At 34.3% G+C, this 19,147-nt stretch overlaps 1 protein-coding gene across 9 annotated transcripts in view; it reads left to right on the top strand.

Moving 5' to 3' along the window:
- CSMD3 (CUB and Sushi multiple domains 3) overlaps positions 1–19,147 on the top strand; it is a 1,214,012-nt gene that overhangs the window by 403,703 nt on the left and 791,162 nt on the right. For all 9 annotated transcript variants that reach the window (NM_001363185.1, XM_017013010.2, NM_052900.3 and 6 more), the window contains one exon: positions 14,058–14,170. In NM_001363185.1, coding sequence (NP_001350114.1) covers positions 14,058–14,170 — 113 coding nt within the window. The remainder of the gene's footprint in view (positions 1–14,057; positions 14,171–19,147) is intronic.

The raw sequence follows: 19,147 nt of genomic DNA, 5'->3' as shown, positions 1-19,147 counted from the left end.
ATCTACCTTTCTGGGGTCAGGATGGTGGCCCTCTTCTCACAGCTCCACTAAGCAGTGCCCCAGTGAGGACTCTGTGTGAGAGCTCCAACTCACATTTCCCCTCTACATTGCCCTAGTAGAGGTTCTTCATGAGAGCTCTTCTGCCTGGACATCCAGGTGTTTCTATACATCCTCTGAAATCTAGGTGGAGACTCCCAAAGTTCAAACTCTTGTCTTCCACATACCTGCAGGCCCAATACCACGTGGAAGCCACCAAGGATTAGGGCTTGGACCATTTGAAGCAATGGCCCAAGCTGTGCCTTGACCCCTTTTAGGCATGGCTGGAGCTTTAACAGCTGGTATGTGGGCTACCAAGACCTGAAGCTGCACAGACCAATGGGGCCCTGAGTGCAGCCCAGGAAGCCATTTTTTCCTCCTAGGCCTGGAATGGGAGGAGCTGCTGTGAAGTTCTCTGACATGCCCTGGAGACATTTTCCCCATTGTCTTGGCTATTAACATTCAGCTCCTCATTACTTATGCACATTTCTGCAGTTGACTTGAATCCCTCCCCAGAATATGTGTTTTCCTTTTCTACCACATGGTCAGGCTGCAAATTTTTCAAACCTTTATGCTTTACTTTCCTTTTAAACGTAAATTCCAATTTCAAACCATCTCTTTATGAATTCATATTAAATGTACACTTTCAAAATAAGCCAGGTCACCTCTTGAATGCTTTGCTTCTTAGAAATTTCTTCTGGCAGTTACCCTAAATCATCTCTCTCAAGCTCAAAGTTCCATAAATCTCTAGAGCAGAAGCAAAATACCACCAGAGTCTTTGCTAAGCATAGCAAGAGTAACCTTTGCTCCAGTTCCCAGTCAGTTCCTCATCTCCATCTGAGACCACCTCAACCTGTACTTCATTGTCCATAGTACTATCAGCATTTTGGTCAAAACTATTCAACAAGTCTCAAGGAAGTTCCAAACTTTTCTACATCTACGTGTCTTCTGAACCCTCCAAACTCTTCCAGCCTCTGCCTTTTACCCACTTCCAAAGTCGCTTCCTCATTTTCAGGTTATCTTTATAGGAGTAACTCGCTCTACTAGTACCAACTCTCTGTATTAGTCTGTTATCACACTGTATAAAGATATTATCTGAGAATGGGTAATTTATTAACAAGGAGGTTTAATTTACTCACAGTTTCACATGGCTGGGAAGGCCTCAGGAGACTTACTATCATGGCAGAAGGCGAAAGAGAAGAAAACGCTTTCTTACAGGGCAGCAGGAGAGAGGACACACAGGAGAACCTACCAGTTTTAAAACCATCATATCTCATGAGAACTCCCTCACTATCATGAGAGCAGCAGGCAGAAACTGCCCCCATAATCCAATCACTTCCACCAGGTCCCTCTTTCAACATGTGGATATTACAATTCAAGATGAGATTTGGGTGGGGACACAAAGCCAAACCATATGAACCCCATATATTGTTCACCCACTATCCCCCAAGAGAAGCATTTTTCATAACTATGGCACAATATTACAACAAGAAAATTAACATAACAATTACAATCTACTGAACTGATTCAGATTTCACCAATTTTGCAGGCATTTATTGTGAGTGTGCAAGTGTATTTTATTCTGTGCACTTTATCACAATGCTATAGTCAAGATACAGGGAAATTCCATCACAAGAATCCCTTCAGCTATCCTTTTAGAGGAACAGCTATTTCCCACCTAACCTGCCCCACCATAACACCTACTGACCACTACTCAGTTCTATATATCTTTAATTTTTTCATTCCAAGAATGTTATATGAATGGAATTACATAATCTGTAACTTTTGAGATTCGCTTTTTCCTTTGCTCTTAATGTTCTGTTTTATACATAATTACCTTGAGATTTATGCAAGTTGTTGTGTATATCAGTAGTTTGTTCCTTTTTAATGCTGAGTAGTATTCCATGATATGGATATGCTACAGTTTGTTGAATCATTCACCTGTTGTAGACCATTTGTGTTCTTTAAAGTTTGGGCTATTATAAGTAAAGCTACTTTGAAGATTCATGTACAGGTTTTTGTGTGAATATAAGCTTTCATTTCTCTGGGATAATGAGTACTCAATAGTACAATTTCAGAATTGCATGGCAAGTGCAATTTTAGTTTTATAAAAGACTGATATTCTTCTCCAGTGTTGGTATACCATTTTACATTCATGCTAGCATTATATGAGTGGTTCAGTTTCTCTGCATCCTCACATTTGGCATAGTCACTGTTTTTAATTTTAGCCATTCTGGTAGGTGTATCATAATATCTCACTGTGATTTTAATTTGCATTTGCCAAATATCTACTCATGTAACTATTTGCCATCTGTAAATCCTCTTCTGTGAAATACCTGTTCAAGTTTCCTCTTATTTTGTGAATTTTTTTCTTTTTAACAGTTGCATTTGGGAATTCTTTATATACTCTAGATATAAGTTCTGTGTCAAGTGTATGATATATTAACACTTTTTTTTTACATTTTGTATTTGTCTTTTCATCTTCTTATTCAGTATCTTCTTCATAGCAGAAGTGTTTAATTTTGATGATGTCCAATTTGTTAATTATTTTTTATGAATATTGTTTTTGGGCTTAATTCTGAAACTTCACCTAACTCAAGATCTCAAAGATTTTCTGTGATATGTTTTTCTAAGTGTTTCGTAGATTTACTTTTAAGTCCATGATCAATTTTGAGCTTTCAAATATCAGTTAGCTATAAGGATTTGGGTTTATTTCTGCATCCTCTATTTTGTTCCATTGGCCTACATGCTTATCTTTTTTTTTTTTTTTTTTTTTTTTTTTTACCAGTACCAAAGTGTTTTGGTGACTATGGCCTTATACTGTAGTTTGAAATCAGGTAGTGTTATGCATCCAGATTTGTTCTTTTTGCTTAGTCTTGCTTTGGCTAAACCAGCTCTTTTTTGCTTCCATATGAATTTTAGATTTTTTTTTTCTAATTCTGTAATGAATGATGTTGGAATTTGATGGGGATTGCATTGAATTTGTAGATTGCTTTTGGCAGTATGGTCATTGTCACAATATTGATTCCACCCATCCATGAGCATGGGATGTGTTTCCATTTGTTTGTGTTGTCTAAGATTTCTTTCAGCAGTGTTTTGTAGTTTTCCTTGCAGAGGTCTTTCAATTCCTTGGTTTGGTGTATTCCTAAGTATTTTATTTTATTTTTTGCAGCTATTATAAAAGGGGTTCAGTTCTTGATTTGATTCTTCACTTGGTTGCTGTTAGCATGTAGAAGAGCTACTGATTTGTGTACATTAATCTATGCGGAAACTTTGCTGAATTTTTTTTTATCAGTTCTAGGAGCTTTCTGGAGGAGTCTTTAGGGTTTTCAAGGCAAACAATCATATCATCAGCAAACAGTGACAGTTTGACTTCCTTTTTACTGATTTGGATGCCCTTTATTTCTTTCTCTTGTCTGATTGCTCTGGCTAGGATTTCCAGTACTATGTTGAAGAGGAGTGGTGAGAGTGGACATCCTTGTCTTGTTCCAGTTCTCAGAGGGAATGCTTTCAACTTTTCCCCATTCAGTATAATGTTGGCTGTGGGTGTTTCATAGATGGCTTTTATTACATTAAGATATGTCCCTTGTATGCCAATTTTGCTAAGTGTTTTAATCATAAATGGATGCTGGATCTTGTTGAATGTTTTTGCTGCATCTATTGTGATGATCATGTGATATTTGTTTTTAATTCTGTTTATGTGGTGTATCACATTTATTGACTTGCATATGTTAAACCATCCCTGCATCCCTGGTATGAAACCCACTTGATCAGGCTGGATTATCTTTTTGATATGCTGTTGGATTTGATTAGCTAGTATTTTGTTACAGATTTTAGCATCTATATTCATCAAGGATATCAGTCTGTAGTTTTCTTTTTTGGTTATGCCCTTCCCTGGTTTTGGTATTAGGGTGATGCTGGCTTCTTAGAATGAATTAGGGAGGGTTCCTTCTTTATCTTGTGGAATAGTGTCAAAATAATTTGCACCAATTCTTCTTTGAATGTCTGGTAGAATTCTGCTGTGAATCCATATGGTCCTGGACTATTTTTGAGTACAGGCAGTGTAGATTTAGAATGATTTGTAAGGGCTCTAGGATTTTTGAATAATAAATGAGCATTAGCTTCAACTTAAAGTTGCCAGCTTCATTAACCCCTGACAACACAGTCAGTCTGTCTTTTGAAACTTAAGCCAGGCATTGACTTCTCTGTAGCTATGAAAGGTCTACATGACATTTTCTTTCAGTAGAAAGCTACTTCTTCTGCATTGAAAATCTGTCATTTAGTATAGTCACCTTCATCAATTATTTTAGCTAGACCGTCTGGATAGCTTGCAGCAGCTTCTACGTCACTTTATGCTGATGCACCTTGCACTTATATTATGAAGATGTCTTCTTTTCTTAAGCTTCATGAACCAACCTCTGATAGCTTCAGATTTTTTGTTCTACAGCTTCCTCATTTATCTTAGTATTCATGGAATTGAATAAAGTTAGGGCCTTACTCTGAATTAGGCTTTGGCTGAAGGGAATATGGTGGTTGGTTTGATCTTATATCCAAACCACTAAAACTTTCTCCGTATCAGCAAAAAAGATTGTTTTGCTTTCTTATAATTTGTGTGTTCACTGGAGTAGCATTTGTGATTTCGTTCAATAATTTTTCCTTTGCATTCACAACTTGGCTAATTTGGCATAAGAGATCTATCTTGGCTCTCAACATGCTTTTCTCACTCAGGTTAATAATTTCTAGCTTTTGATTGAAAGTGAGAGACATGTGACTCTTCCTTTCACTTGAACACTTAGAGGCCATTGTATATTTATTAATTTTCACACTTTCAATATTGTGTCTCAGGGATAGAGATGTTCAAGGATGAAATGAAAGACAAGGGAATGGTTGATTAGTAGAGAAGTCAGAACAAACACAACATTTACTGATTAAGTTCACCATCTTGCATGGGCACAGTTTGTGACACCCAAAAGCAATTAGAAGAGTAACATCAAATTTCATTGTTTATACATCACCATAACAGAAATAATAATGAAAATTTTGACATGTTATGAGAATTATTAAAATGTGACATGGAGAGATGAAGTGACAATATGTTATTGGAAAAATGCCACTTGCCCAATGCAGCATTGTCACAAACCTTCAGTTTGTAAAACAACAGCAACAACAAACCCCACAATATCTGCAAAGCACAATAAACAAAAATGCAAAAAAAGAGGTATGCCTGTAATTCTATGCAAACTGTGCATTTAATCTTGATTAAAATTTGGTATTTGAATCTATACATATTATATCTAATATATAAACATAGATTTTTCTGAAGCATGTTTCTAGATAAAAGGAACCCAGATCTATAAGATCCATTTTTTATAAGAGAATTCATCTAAAGGATAGATCCTGGAAATAAGTGATAAGTGGGAAATCAGAAGAGAGTTACAGAATAGGGTATGTGGGTTTTATGGTGTGTGGTTAAGAGTAAAAGGGGAGAAGGAAAGGAAATAAAGCTTACTATAGCCAATTATCTCCTTTGCTTTGTAACTACTTTGTAATATCTTGCTTCTGAAGAGTGGACTGCCTAACACAATACTTAGATTTGTAATGCTATTTTTTAAACCATGCAGAATTCTGTGTCCTGATGTCCAGTGACTTTTGACTACCTAATCAATAGCACAGTCAGGCATCTATGACAAGGAAACACCACCTGGTCTATGTAAACATCTGTACACTCTACATACATGACTTGCACAGTGTGGAAAATTAATGCATTTAACGTCATTCCATAAGTGAATTAATTTAGTTCCTAAAATATTTTTTCAACTTTTAGTACCCCGCACAACACAACAGAAAGTTTTTTTTATTTTTTTGAGTATTTTTGAATATGCTAGTTTTTCTTGGGACTATAAAATGCATTCTTGTTCAGACATGAGGCAATGAACAATATCAATGGCTTAGAATAAATTTCATTGCATGTTACTGATATTATGGCAAAGCATGAAAATGGGAGAATGTTTGCTGGGCAGTTTTAAGAAATTCTAGATGAAAACATTTTAAAACTACAGGAAGAGAATATGGTTACAAAAGAGCAATTTAGTAATTATTGGACAGTGTAATTTCCTCCATCCCCAGGCATTTTTGGTTGCTAATGTTCAGAACACACTTGGAGAAATTTTGTAATAGGATAGTACTTAATTAGCATAATTCATTATCTACAGTTTGAAATGTGCTTATGGATTCGATATATACCATGCAGATCTTTTCAGCTTCTTATAATTTAGAACATAGATTATATAATATAAACAAGGTGAAAGCAGTAAGACATGCCATAGGAAGAGTTATACCAAGTGCTTTTCATATTCAGAAAACAAAAATATAAATTTTAGCCAGGGGAGTTGAAGAAGACATATGAAGGAGATAGAATTTTAGATGGGCCTTGAATAAGAAAAGAACTAAAACATTTAATAATAATATAAATTGAAATATTGACCTAACTTATAAAGAGTATAAAAATTCAAAGAGACTGAAAGTTAGGGCATGTGCCCAAATAACTTCTCTTCATTTATTTTCTTGACATATATAAGACAGTATACACTCACTATGCATCAATCATTATGCTAAGTATCAGGGATATAACAGCCCTGTTAAAGAAAATGTAAAATAATAGGAAACATAGAAAACTTATCACTAAGTAAAGTAATAAATGGCTAATCATAAATTTTGTGGTCAGAGCAAGATAGTTTCCTAGAGATGCCTGGTACTTGTCCAACCAAAAACAAAGGACCAAAACAATGAATAGAGAACTACATTCCAACTAGAGTGAATGAAGAGTATGCTGGATACTTCACCACAAGGAAGTGGTGAAATCTCTGTGAAGCACAGAAACCCAGAATGGAAGTTTAGAAAGTAAGTGAAGCACCTATCTCTGCCACTCTGTTCCCCCTGCTGGGATGAGCTTGGGGATGGGAGAGACTTCTTTTTGTGAGAAAAAGTTAAGCTGGAGGCCACCAGCAGTCCCCGTTCCCGACATACACATCTACAGTTCTTGCTGCAAGAAAGGCCCACAGTCCTCACTGCCTCTGAATGTAGTTTGGGGAGCTTCCTGGAGTTAACATGGCTGCATTGCTCCAGAGTGAGGAGCCTATGTGCACCCCCTATCCCTGTGACCCAGGGTGCTATAGCACATCACTATCTTGATGGTACCAGACCCATAGCTGTAGTGCATCCTATTATGGGAGCCAATAGTCATTGTTTATCCATCGTGATGTGCTACTGACATTCCACTACACTCACACAGATGGCTGCAGTAACAAAAACCTGGCTACTTGGAGCCTAGGTTCAGCAGAACAGCTGTGACTCCAGTGTCTGAGACTATGCTATGCCCTGCTCCAATGGAACAGGCAGTTATACAGAGTGGGAAAGCTGACCCTGGGCTTGTCCTGACTCCCCAGAAAATCACCACAGAGATGGCTTACCTATCACACCCATGTGTGCCTGACAGCTCAACATTCAACCCAGTGGTGGCTCCACTCCCCTGCCAACCCACTCCAGAACCAGTCAACTCATGTATGTGAGCATTTGCCCGAACCACCAGTTAGCCTTGTGGTGGTCCCACTGCAAGGTATTTCCACCCTAGATAATTCACTGCATCGGTATGCTCCTGGACCAATATAGCTGGCCTAGTGGAGGTCCTGGACTCCAGCAAGCCCACCCTAGTGCCAGCCAAACTATCACACCCAAGTATGCGTAGTCTGAAACTATCATGGTGGCCATTATTACCGTAAGTTTTTGCAGTCCAGAGCACTGACACACTCAGACATTGCTGATGCGAATTACAGCTGAAGAAACTGCACATAAACCACACTCCTGCTTCTACCCAGAATCAAAGCCAAAACACCCTACTAAACCACACCCTAAGACGCATATACATGAAAATGTTTCACTTTACCAAAACTACCACATAAAATCGGAAAGGTGACTCTTCTACCAGATGCACAGATATACGCATAGGGAAAGAAGAAATGTGAAAAAGCAAAGAAATGTGAGCCTTCCAAAGGAACACAAAAGACTTCAGTAGCAGACACTAAAGAAAGGAAATTTATGAAGAGTCTGAAAAAGATCTAGACATTTCAGCCTTAAAAAAAAAGAAATAATATATTTTTCAGGAACATGGAGGGAACTGGAGACAGTTATCTCAAGTGAAACAACTCAGAGACAGAAAGACAAACACCACATGTCTCACTTATAAATGGGAGCTAAATAATGTTTACACATGGAGGTAGAGCGTGGAATGATAGACAATGGATGCTTGGAAAGGTCAAGGGATGGCAGAGGGGTGGATGATGAGAAATTACTTGATAGGTACAATGTACATTACTCCAGTGATGGATACACTAAAGGCTCTGACTTTACTACTGATGAAAAAATTGGCAATGGACCAGAACAGATAACCTTCAAAAGAAGAAAAGTGGCCAACAGGTGTGTGAAAAAAATGTTCAACATCACTAGTCATCCAGAAAATGTAAATCAGTACCACAATGAGATATCACTTCACTTTAGTCAGAATGGCTACTATCAAAAAGACAAAAGAGGTGTTAGCAAAGATGCAGAGAAAAAGGTACCCTTCTACAGTGTTGACAAGAATATATATTAGTAAAACCATTATTAAAAATAGTATGTATGTTCCTCAAAAAATTAAAAATAGAACTACCATATGACCCAGCAATACTACTACCAGGTAAATATCCAAAAGAGGTGAAGTTAATAGGTTGAAGAACTATATGAACTCCTATTTTTATTGCTTCACTATTCACAATAGTCAAGTAATCGACTCTAAGTGTCCAATGATGTATGAACGGATTAAGAAAGTGTGATCACACACACACAAACACACACACACACACACACACACACACACAATACTCAGTGGAATACTATGCAGCCTTAAGAAAGAAACAAATTTTGTCATTTGGGACAACATGGGTAAACCTCAAGGAAAATATGTTAAGATAAATAAGTCAGAAACAGAAAGATAAATATCAAATGTTCTCACCCATATTCAGAATCTAAAAACGATGGTCTCATAGAAGTAGCAAATAGAACAGTGGTTACCAGAGACTGAGGAAGGTGGTGAGTTGATAGGAGAGGTTGGTCAATGGGTATAAATTTATAGCTAGAAAGGCAGAATAAGTACCAGTGTCCTATTGCACTGTAGGGTAACTATAGTCAACGAAAAAGATATTTTATATCTCAAAATAGCTAGAAGAGAGGATTTTGAATTTCCTACTACAAAGAAATCATAAATGTTTGAGGTGATGGATATGCTAATTACTCTGATTTGATCATTACACAATGTATGTATGTACTGAAACAGCACATTGTACCCCATAAGTATGTGCAATTGTTATGTGTCTGTTAAACATAAAAAATTAAGATATGATGAGAACATGTGCAGGTGGTCTGTGAGGACAGAGAAGGAGATTGGGCACCTCTCTTAACCATGGAACTTTGTCTGGTTTTCCTGAGAAAGATTTAGAGTAAATCAATAAATGTAAAGAAAGGATATTTATTTCAGCCTCAAAGCGAAGTATATGCAAAGTTCCAGGGATAAGATGAAAGAATAAAATTTGAGCAACTAATAGCAGCTCAACATAGGGCCATAATCTAACAAGGTCATAAAGAACATTCATGAAGATTCATGATGGATACATCTTATCTAAGTGCTAGAGAAGGAAGGAGGTCAAAACTGGTTTAAAAGCAAGAGAGTGAGAAAGCACGGGAGCATGCTTGAGAGAGGGAGAGAGAGAGAGACAAGTAAAATTAGAGGAAAGTGGGAGAATTGTGAAAAAGAGGGATACAAAGTCATGGAGGTAATGATGTGAAAAATCCTGAGTTTAAGATTTGACTCCACCTATGGATAATATAGATAGGCCATTACATTTGGATGATTTTAGGGAATTGGGAAGATTTTTTTAAAAAGTAGATGTCAGAGCAATCAAAAATGATAGCTGTTGATGAAACTACAAAATTTGAGAAAGTTTGAAAACCAGATATGGCTGAAATGAGGACCTGACAATTTATCTTATAATAAAAGCGGTTTAACATTAAAGAAAAAAAAGAATAAGCTCAGAATAGTTTTATGAACTTTATCAAAAAAGCTGTCATTCTCTCAATTTTCTTATGTTTAACTAATTCTTAAAATCATGTTGTAAGGATTATAATTACATTCTCTAAAGGATTAATTACAATAGAAACATATAGGATTTTAAATATAAATTGATGATTTAATCATTATTTCTGCAGTAAATTGGAGAACTAAAAATTTTTTGCAAAGATTAATTATAAGTTACTCTGTATTATTGTCAGTATTTCTTTCCTCATTAAACATGCAATGAAATTTGATGTCATTAATAATTTTTTAGTAATTCCATTACAATGTATTTATTACTCAAGAGACACGTCAAATTTTCTGATACAAATAACTAGAGTATTAGGGAACAAATGTATGACATTTATCATGACCATATTTTTCTTGATATAATTATCCTAAATCCCCTTTAGTGGTTTAAGACATATAATCCTGAGTATGGAGATTTTTAGGGTGAAATGGAAAATATATTAAAACAATGGAAACTTTATTTCTAGAAATTCTTTATCATGTTACTGGGTTTTTTGTTATTGTTGTTATATGTCATTTGCCACTATCTGAAATATATATTATTTATTTATTTGTTTGTATGTTTTAATTTTACTGTATAAAACCATGATTTTTCTCTTGCTTACTATCATATTTCCAACCTTTACCATTGGTATTTGTCATATAGTTAATGTTTGGTAAATAACTGTTGAATAAATGTGTACAATCTATTTCTTATTAAAAGATTATTCTCATTGACTTTATGCTAGAATTTGCTTACTCTTAAATGACCACAGTGATTTGACACAGGGATAACAATAAGTTATATTTTAGAATATCTCCTTTAGTAATTATCTAAATTAAGTAGTTTAATGGAATCTTTCCAAGTGGCATATATTCTCAATCCCTCATTTCCTGGTTTTCCTGATAACATGTGAAATAAGGACAGAGATATAGAGATTTATTTGTGAGATTTCTCCATAAGCCATAAACCAAACCATATTGTTTAGAATGAGTGTAAATAATGAACATTATTCAGTGACTGTGATTTTCAAAGCCCATGTGACTCGCCTATAACCAATGACTGTATATTTCTCTCTGGTGGCAGAGGGATGCTGTGGTACAAGTGCTTTCTAGTTCAGTTTCTTGGCTTATCTAAGGTCTTGCCTCATACACTGAAGCATTGAGGCTGTCAGGAATACTTCTTAGTTTCACCCTTGTTAAATTATCATTATTTGCTCCACCTCATGCACATTCTACTTCTCCCTACTGCAGCTCTACTTTCTTCAGGTCCACTCCCTTAGATTACTGAAAGTAAATTCAAGTTGCAAACTGCAGTTACACAGTAGCTATTACTTGCCTTTACTGTACTCTATTACTGAAATTACCTTTCATGTCCCTGGAAAAGATGGAAAGTTTATCATTTTTATTGAACATTTTGTCTTTTTTCTTTTCTCGCATTTCTTAATGTCCTTGTGGAGCCGATTCTCATGTACTGAACTGGGTCTTTTAGGGGGTCATCTCCAAACTCTGCTTTGGTGTATTACACACCTCCATGCATTGTAGTCTCATTACATCTGGAAATGTGTGCAGCCTGTCAAAAATAATTTAAACTTTCCCTAACGGATATTCATGTTCATCGAAATAGGGAATTGAACAAAACCAAATTGTAAATCAAAATCTGGCATGAACTATGCTACTCAATTGAAAATATAATTGAAACAAATCCAAATAGTTTTTCACTGAGTTACTATTTTAATCAACAAGAGTAAACATAACCTGTATATTTTCTGAAAGTAATGAAAGCAAATTTTAAAACTTGAGTCTAAAATTATACAATTATATTATATATTTTTGTTAACTAAATTCAGATTGGAAAAAAAGTCAGTCAGCTCAACAAATAAACAGATTCATCCCTATGAAAAGAGAAAATAGATTTATAGGGAAACATTACGGAAAATGCACTGCAAACCAAGAATAAAAATGAGAAATATATAAAAATTATCCCAATGTTTTCATATTGGAATTCAACATTCTGTACACCAGTAGACACAATAATACAATAAAGGTGATTTTACATTTTAATGGGCAGGTGGTCATCCACTAAAAGTGGTGGCTAGCTCCCACACATCTTAGGAAAGTTGGGTTTTCAGGGATAAAGATGAAGAGTATTGGTTAGAGGGTCCTTGCATCCCTGTACCTACACCTTAACACTGATTACATATACAATGACAGATTTTCCATCCTCCTTCTACTGTTCCCCTAGCATGACTAATTGCCAAAAGGTGAGAGAATATTTGTAATTCCTCTTGACACTCCCACCCCACAAACATAGTATAATAAATCAGCTGTTTATTTTGCCTTCTGAAGAAGAAAACTGTGAGCTTTGAAGAATAGGAAATATATACTTGTTATTAAGAAACCTTAATCTGAAACTCTTAATCTGAAACTCTTATTATTAAGAACGTGTTATTAAGAAACCTTAATCTGAAACTCTTCCTAACTATGTAATAGCCTTGCTTTGGAGACTCTTTTACTTTGGCTTTATAGCAAACACTTAAAATTTAAATGGTTAGATATATGGTAGAAGTATAATACAGCAGTATTTTTCTATTTCATGATGTCATAAAAACTGCTTTGCTGGAAATCTTCAAAAAATTATAAAGCAAGAGGTACTTTATATATTAATCATGACCAATATCTGGAGCATAGTTCCAATATTTTGTTTTAAGATACTTGTTTTGAGTATATTATAAATGGTATTCTTGCAACCAAATATGTGAAGACTACATATCCAACTATATTTGTTTGGATATATACAATCTGTTTTCTGCCTCTCCATTGGATCAGGCCTCTAATACATTATAGAATTATATATTCTTTTTTTTTTTTTTTTTTTTTTGAGACGGAGTCTCGCTCTGTCGCCCAGGCCGGACTGCGGACTGCAGTGGCGCAATCTCGGCTCACTGCAAGCTCCGCTTCCCGGGTTCACGCCATTCTCCTGCCTCAGCCTCCCGAGTAGCTGGGACTACAGGCGCCCGCCACCGCGCCCGGCTAATTTTTTGTATTTTTAGTAGAGACGGGGTTTCACCTTGTTAGCCAGGATGGTCTCGATCTCCTGACCTCATGATCCACCCGCCTCGGCCTCCCAAAGTGCTGGGATTACAGGCGTGAGCCACCGCGCCCGGCCAGAATTATATATTCTAATGAAAGCTAGTCATGAACATTTATAAGATTATGAAATTACATAAAAGCAATGCTTGTTCTATGAAAATAAACTGTGAAATTTGCCATCCAGTGAGAAATACTGAAAAAACATTAAGTGGATAGGAGGGAGTATAAGAAAATAACTGTACAGTCTCACTCTGGAAATAAGGATATCAATTTATGAGGTCTTTCGATTTTGTAACTTTATTGTATCAATACATATATGAGAAGCACGTTGACTAGCACCATCAGCTCAATATCTGTTATGTTTATTATTAACAATAAGAATACAATATATATAATAAATAATAAATAAGATATAATAAATAATAAACAATATATAACATATTAATAAATGATAAACTATATAATACTAATAAAACAATACCATAAATAAATTATTGGTGCAGTAAATAAATTTGGATAAATCAAAAATCATGTGCACTTAAAGTTTTATAGTTGATTGTATTAATACACACAACCTGATTGGAACAGCATGTGTTTGGAATTGCACTATTCTGTGATTGACTTTTCTATGCATAAAAGAACTATTTCATTTGTGCTTAAAAAGTTGACAGTGCAAAGTCATGAATATAGTTGGACATTTGTTTGGTCCCAATTTTGTGAAAACGTTTACTGCTGAAAAGCTTTTTAAATTTTTTTGTTGTTGTCTTTTGTAATTCAGGTTATCTGGAATGAATATACCACCACCAATTATCAGCAACAAAAACTGGCTCAGACTGCATTTTGTTACAGACAGCAATCATCGATACCGTGGATTTAGTGCTCCCTATCAAGGTATACTTATGGAATACCTTTGCCTCTTTTGATATGTAAAATAATTTTGGTGTACACAACTATGTTTTGTGATAGAAAAATGTCTTTAGCATTTAGAAATTGGAATTTGTATTGAAAAAAATGGTCATGCTGTTGCTGAGACAATAATGTGATCATAACTAAATTACAGTATTAAAGTTAGTTGATTTTATAGTATAATATTCAGAATAATGAATATTATGATTTCTAAAAGGTAGTATGTAGCAGATGCAATATTTTTCTTTAATAAAGTGCTTCAGCAATTGGATATACTATCTGAAGTTGTACCGCAAATCACTGCAGAAAACCTTCAGTTGCATGTACGCTCTTTCTCAATCGAAACTCACCTCCATATGCAGCATGTTTGTTACTGCTAGTTTAATTAACCTTGTTAGGAGTTTTATCTACCAATTGTGTTAACATAAATAATTTTCAATACATAGGATATAATATTTGATGCATTAACTTGAAAAACTCTTTGGAACAAGATTATTATGAAGATGGAGTACTAATGAAAATGTAGCTTCTACAATGTTCTGTAATACTATGTGAGCTTAGTGTACTTTATCTTCAGACTACTTATGTAAATAATTCATTTCATTCTCAGTAGTGTATCAGCTACTTTTCAGGGAATAGTAAGCATTGCCACAGTTACATTCTTCCATTTATCTGTGTTTTTTGTTTTTTTTAATGCTTTCCCCTTTAGTAGTCTTCAGTCCTAAGCACTTCGAAAATTTAATATGATGACTTTAGGAAGCTTATATTTAGTACTCAAAATGGCATTAAATCATATATTGTTCTTTGGAATACAAAATTCAACAATTAATTTGTATTTTGAAAACCAGTAACCTCTCTGAAGCTGTTCTATTAATAAGATTTCTCTCAAAAACTGCAACAGCTTGATGTGATTTGTAATTTGACTTTCGTAATAGTGCACTGAGTATCACTGTAATAAAAATTCTTAGGAAAGTAACTTAAAATCAAGATTTTCGACAAAGTCCACGTAGAAAATCTGCAATAATGATCATTTCTAAAGTAGTTAATTGGAATGGAAACATAAATGCAAATATGCTTTTAAAACTATGCAATGTGTTAACATGTATCATAATAGAAAATATTAGCCATCACAAAACACTAAATCTTTAGAGTTCAAAAATAAACTTTCATAGAAAAATTTATTTTCACATATTTTATTAAAAATAGCTGTTTAGGCATGGTAACTTGAATCTTAAACAGTTTAAGGCAATGTCACTTTTAAATTTGCAAAAATATTTTATCCTGTTCCCAATTTCAATTTCTAAAAGTTTGTGTACTTTAGAGGACTATTTTATTGAAAATAAGATATTGTGAAGCTTCTTTATCTCTAGGTTGACCCTTTTACTTGTGGAGTTTTTCATCCACCTAACTCTGTGGCTCTGATTCCTTTCTACAATTAGTTAAGGCCAATGGCATGGCAGAAATTCAAAAATCAATCCTCTTCGATTCCTGTGATCTTTTCTACTAGATTCATGGAATCTTCTGGTCAAATGGCTTCTATTATTTTTCTAAACAGAAATAAAGTAGCATATATTTTATATTTATATGTAGAAACTGGAGCAAAAAAATAGATCTCCTACCTCAAATATTAAGCGATATTTCATTTGTTTTGTGCAATATGATTTCATGGAGCTGGTACCTTCAGATAGGGTTGTTTTGCACTATAAGACAATGGCACAAAGCTACCAGTCGATTTGTGTACTTACTTATAAATTTCAGCATGCTACTCATTGGTCTTTAATTGACTTTTGCAGTATTTTTAAGATTGGAATTGTGGTTTTCAAGCATTATGCGTTTTCGGCACTGAAAAGTAGCATCACTGTAGTAAAATGGAAAAGATGTGTTTTATGAGGTACAACTTATTTCTATTTGCTGCAGGAAAAGGGACTCAAAAGAGGGATGGGATTTATATCGATATAACAGAGGAAATGCAGTGGTTAAGAAAATTGAAGCTTTGATTTTATAATAAGATTAAGGGAAAGTTTTATTATAAAAATATGCCTTTGCATATTATTCTTTTAAAACTTTCCTAATTTAGGCTTGCTTTTTCTGATTGCATTACCTTAAAATAATATTCTACCTCAACAGCATACATTCAATTGAGAAGTAAATCTTGAAATCATAATGAAGAAATTTAAATTAAAAAATATATGTGTACTAAGATAACTTAAATGGCTGCAAAATCATAATTCTGTCATGCCAAAATACATGCCCTATCATGAAATGGTAACGATGCTTTTTACATTGTTCCATGCTACTATTTCATTTTAGTGGTGTCTACATTAAAACTAATTCAAGATTGAAAATTTTGTGTAATATATTATACAAAAGTCAAAACTAAGTCTCCATGCAGCTCAGTTTCTAAATAACTCATATATTTACCGAGTACTCAGTAACTATTATTGATTTACCTATAATTATTTAATATTTTTAGGAATCTGCAGGTTTCCAAAGACTGAATATTTTACTCATAACGTTTCTATTTAATCTCTATCCTTTATTAAATACCATGAAAATTAACTGCAAACTACTAGTGGGTTCATTGAATGCCATTAGCTATTTTTTATAGTGTGTTCCATAATTGATGGAGTAGGTACATAGACACACACTGCTGTGCTTTCCCAAATATAACCACCTTTAAGTTATGTTATATGCTAGCTTCCTGAATGCTTTAGATATTATAATTTTAAATAGGATTAAGTAGAGACTGAGAATAGCATGCTAAAAAGCATAGTTCTATATCAATTCAAAAGTATTAAAAATGTGGTTTAAATAGAAAGCCTTTAATACGTAAAATACATTCTCACTCTGAGCTCCTGTATTGAATATGCCCACTCGTATTTAAAATAAAACATCTTTTGCCTTCCTAGTTTACCTATAATAGAAATCTCTTACTTAAATAATTTATTACTGTCTCTTCTTTGATTAAAAAAAAAAGTTATTTAGTTTTTAACTCTGCCCCCACAAATTCACTTCAATATTATGTCATTATATTTGTCTTTGTTTTAAACTATTGTTCCTCCATTCAAGTTCCATTAACCCTCTATTAATGAGAACTTGGATTGTGCTACTTCTCACCTAAATAGTAAAACTTTTCTTTAATTGTGGTGTTTGGAAGTCCTCTTACTTATTTTTTGAAAACTCTATATTATTGTCACTTGGTCATTAGTATAAACTAAACTCTATTCTTTTCCATTTCGATGAATACATTGTCATATTTACTTATTTTTTAAATTGGAAGGGGAGTTTTAGATAACACTCAATTGTCCAAGAAAGAAAATCTTACCTATAGAAGATTTTAATTAAAAGTATTTTTATTTCATAAGGCTCAATAATACAAGTATGAAATATCTCATTTTTAAAATTATTCAACATTCAGCATTTCTCTTTCAATGTGCAATCATAAATACCATAGCTATAGGCATTCATATAATTGTATTTATCATGTAAGTTTAGGCATTGCAGTATTTAATCAATTTTAAATATGTAAATATATGAGTAATTTTATATTCTTGATTCAAGCCTCTAAATTCCTTACATTTTAATCACAATTTGATTTTTATATTTTCTTCCAAAATTTTTTGTATGTGATTCTTCTTATGCAGGCAAATATTTTACAGAAATTTATTTTTCATGAAATAAAGATATATTAATAGCAACACACAATATTTAAAAGTTATGAAAGATAATGATATTTTACATAGATTCTCAAATAGGCTATGATCATTTTGGGATCAACTGGGCATCTTCTATTGAAAGAAAAGCATATTTATTGGACAGAACTTTCAAACCATATCGAAAATGCCCTTTCATATACCTTAATTACACAGAGACTTCTGGCATTTTAGATGCCCATTGTTTCAGTCAAAAACAAGTAACTTTGGCATAGTTCATCCATTTTTTATATTTGGGAAGTTTTTACATAAATACCTGTGTACAGTTACTGAACAAAGGTAAATAAGATTTTGGGGGATGCAGCATAGTATATTAAGTAAAGAATAGGATCAGAAGGTTAGAATTGAATCATAAAGATACTAATTGCTGAGTTCTCTGAGCATTGGTTTTTCTTTTATCAAACAGAGTCACAGTAGCCAGACATATTATTGTTTTGTAAATTAAAAGGTATTAAGACTTCTTCTTTTTTTGACTCTTCAATCTTTATTTAGATACTCAACACACATGTGCATGAGCACGTGTGCACACACACATACAGACACAGAGTACAAATTAAGTCATTAATTTCCCACTACCTAGAAAGACCTTCATATTTCTTTGAGTCTTAAGACTGAGATCAGATGTCTCTGAAACATTCCCTGACTCCTTCCCTTGGGGGTAGTTAAGCTTTCATAATGTGTTGTAATATTTCAGGACTTCAGAAAACTTTGCTTTGTGTAATGGGCTTACAAGATACCCTGAAAATGATGATTAATTATCTTTGTATTCATTTACAGGATGGTTGGTTGTTATTTTCTGCCACCCACAACCAGTCATCCCTTTTTAATTTTTTCTTGATAAGGGCATCTCATTTTCTTCTGGGGGAATTATCCCTCTTCCATTGTGTGTGCAATCTTGGTGGGGCTGCCAATCAGCCCCACCAAGCGGTAGGCATATGAGGCATGATGGCCAGTTGGACTAAAATGGAACTGTTTACCTGTTTAAGCAGAAGGGGATTTATTACAGAGAATGGAGTCTCCACTAATTATTTGCAGAACAAATAATTGTTATATAACAAATAATAGTCTGCAAAGAGAACTGTTAACATCAGAAAGCCAAGGAAGTGGGAACCACAGTGCCAACTTCTGATTGTTGCTGTAACCACTGGTACCAGAAATAGGAACGTTAGCTGTGACTAACAGGTTAGAAACCATGGCCACAATTGTTGGCTCCAGAGACACGACATGCCTGCTGGGACTGCACCAACAA

This window comes from Homo sapiens, chromosome 8, assembly GCF_000001405.40.
Source record: "Homo sapiens chromosome 8, GRCh38.p14 Primary Assembly".
In the NCBI taxonomy this organism is placed as follows: domain Eukaryota; kingdom Metazoa; phylum Chordata; class Mammalia; order Primates; family Hominidae; genus Homo; species Homo sapiens.
This window is presented reverse-complemented; position numbering and strand designations above follow the sequence as displayed.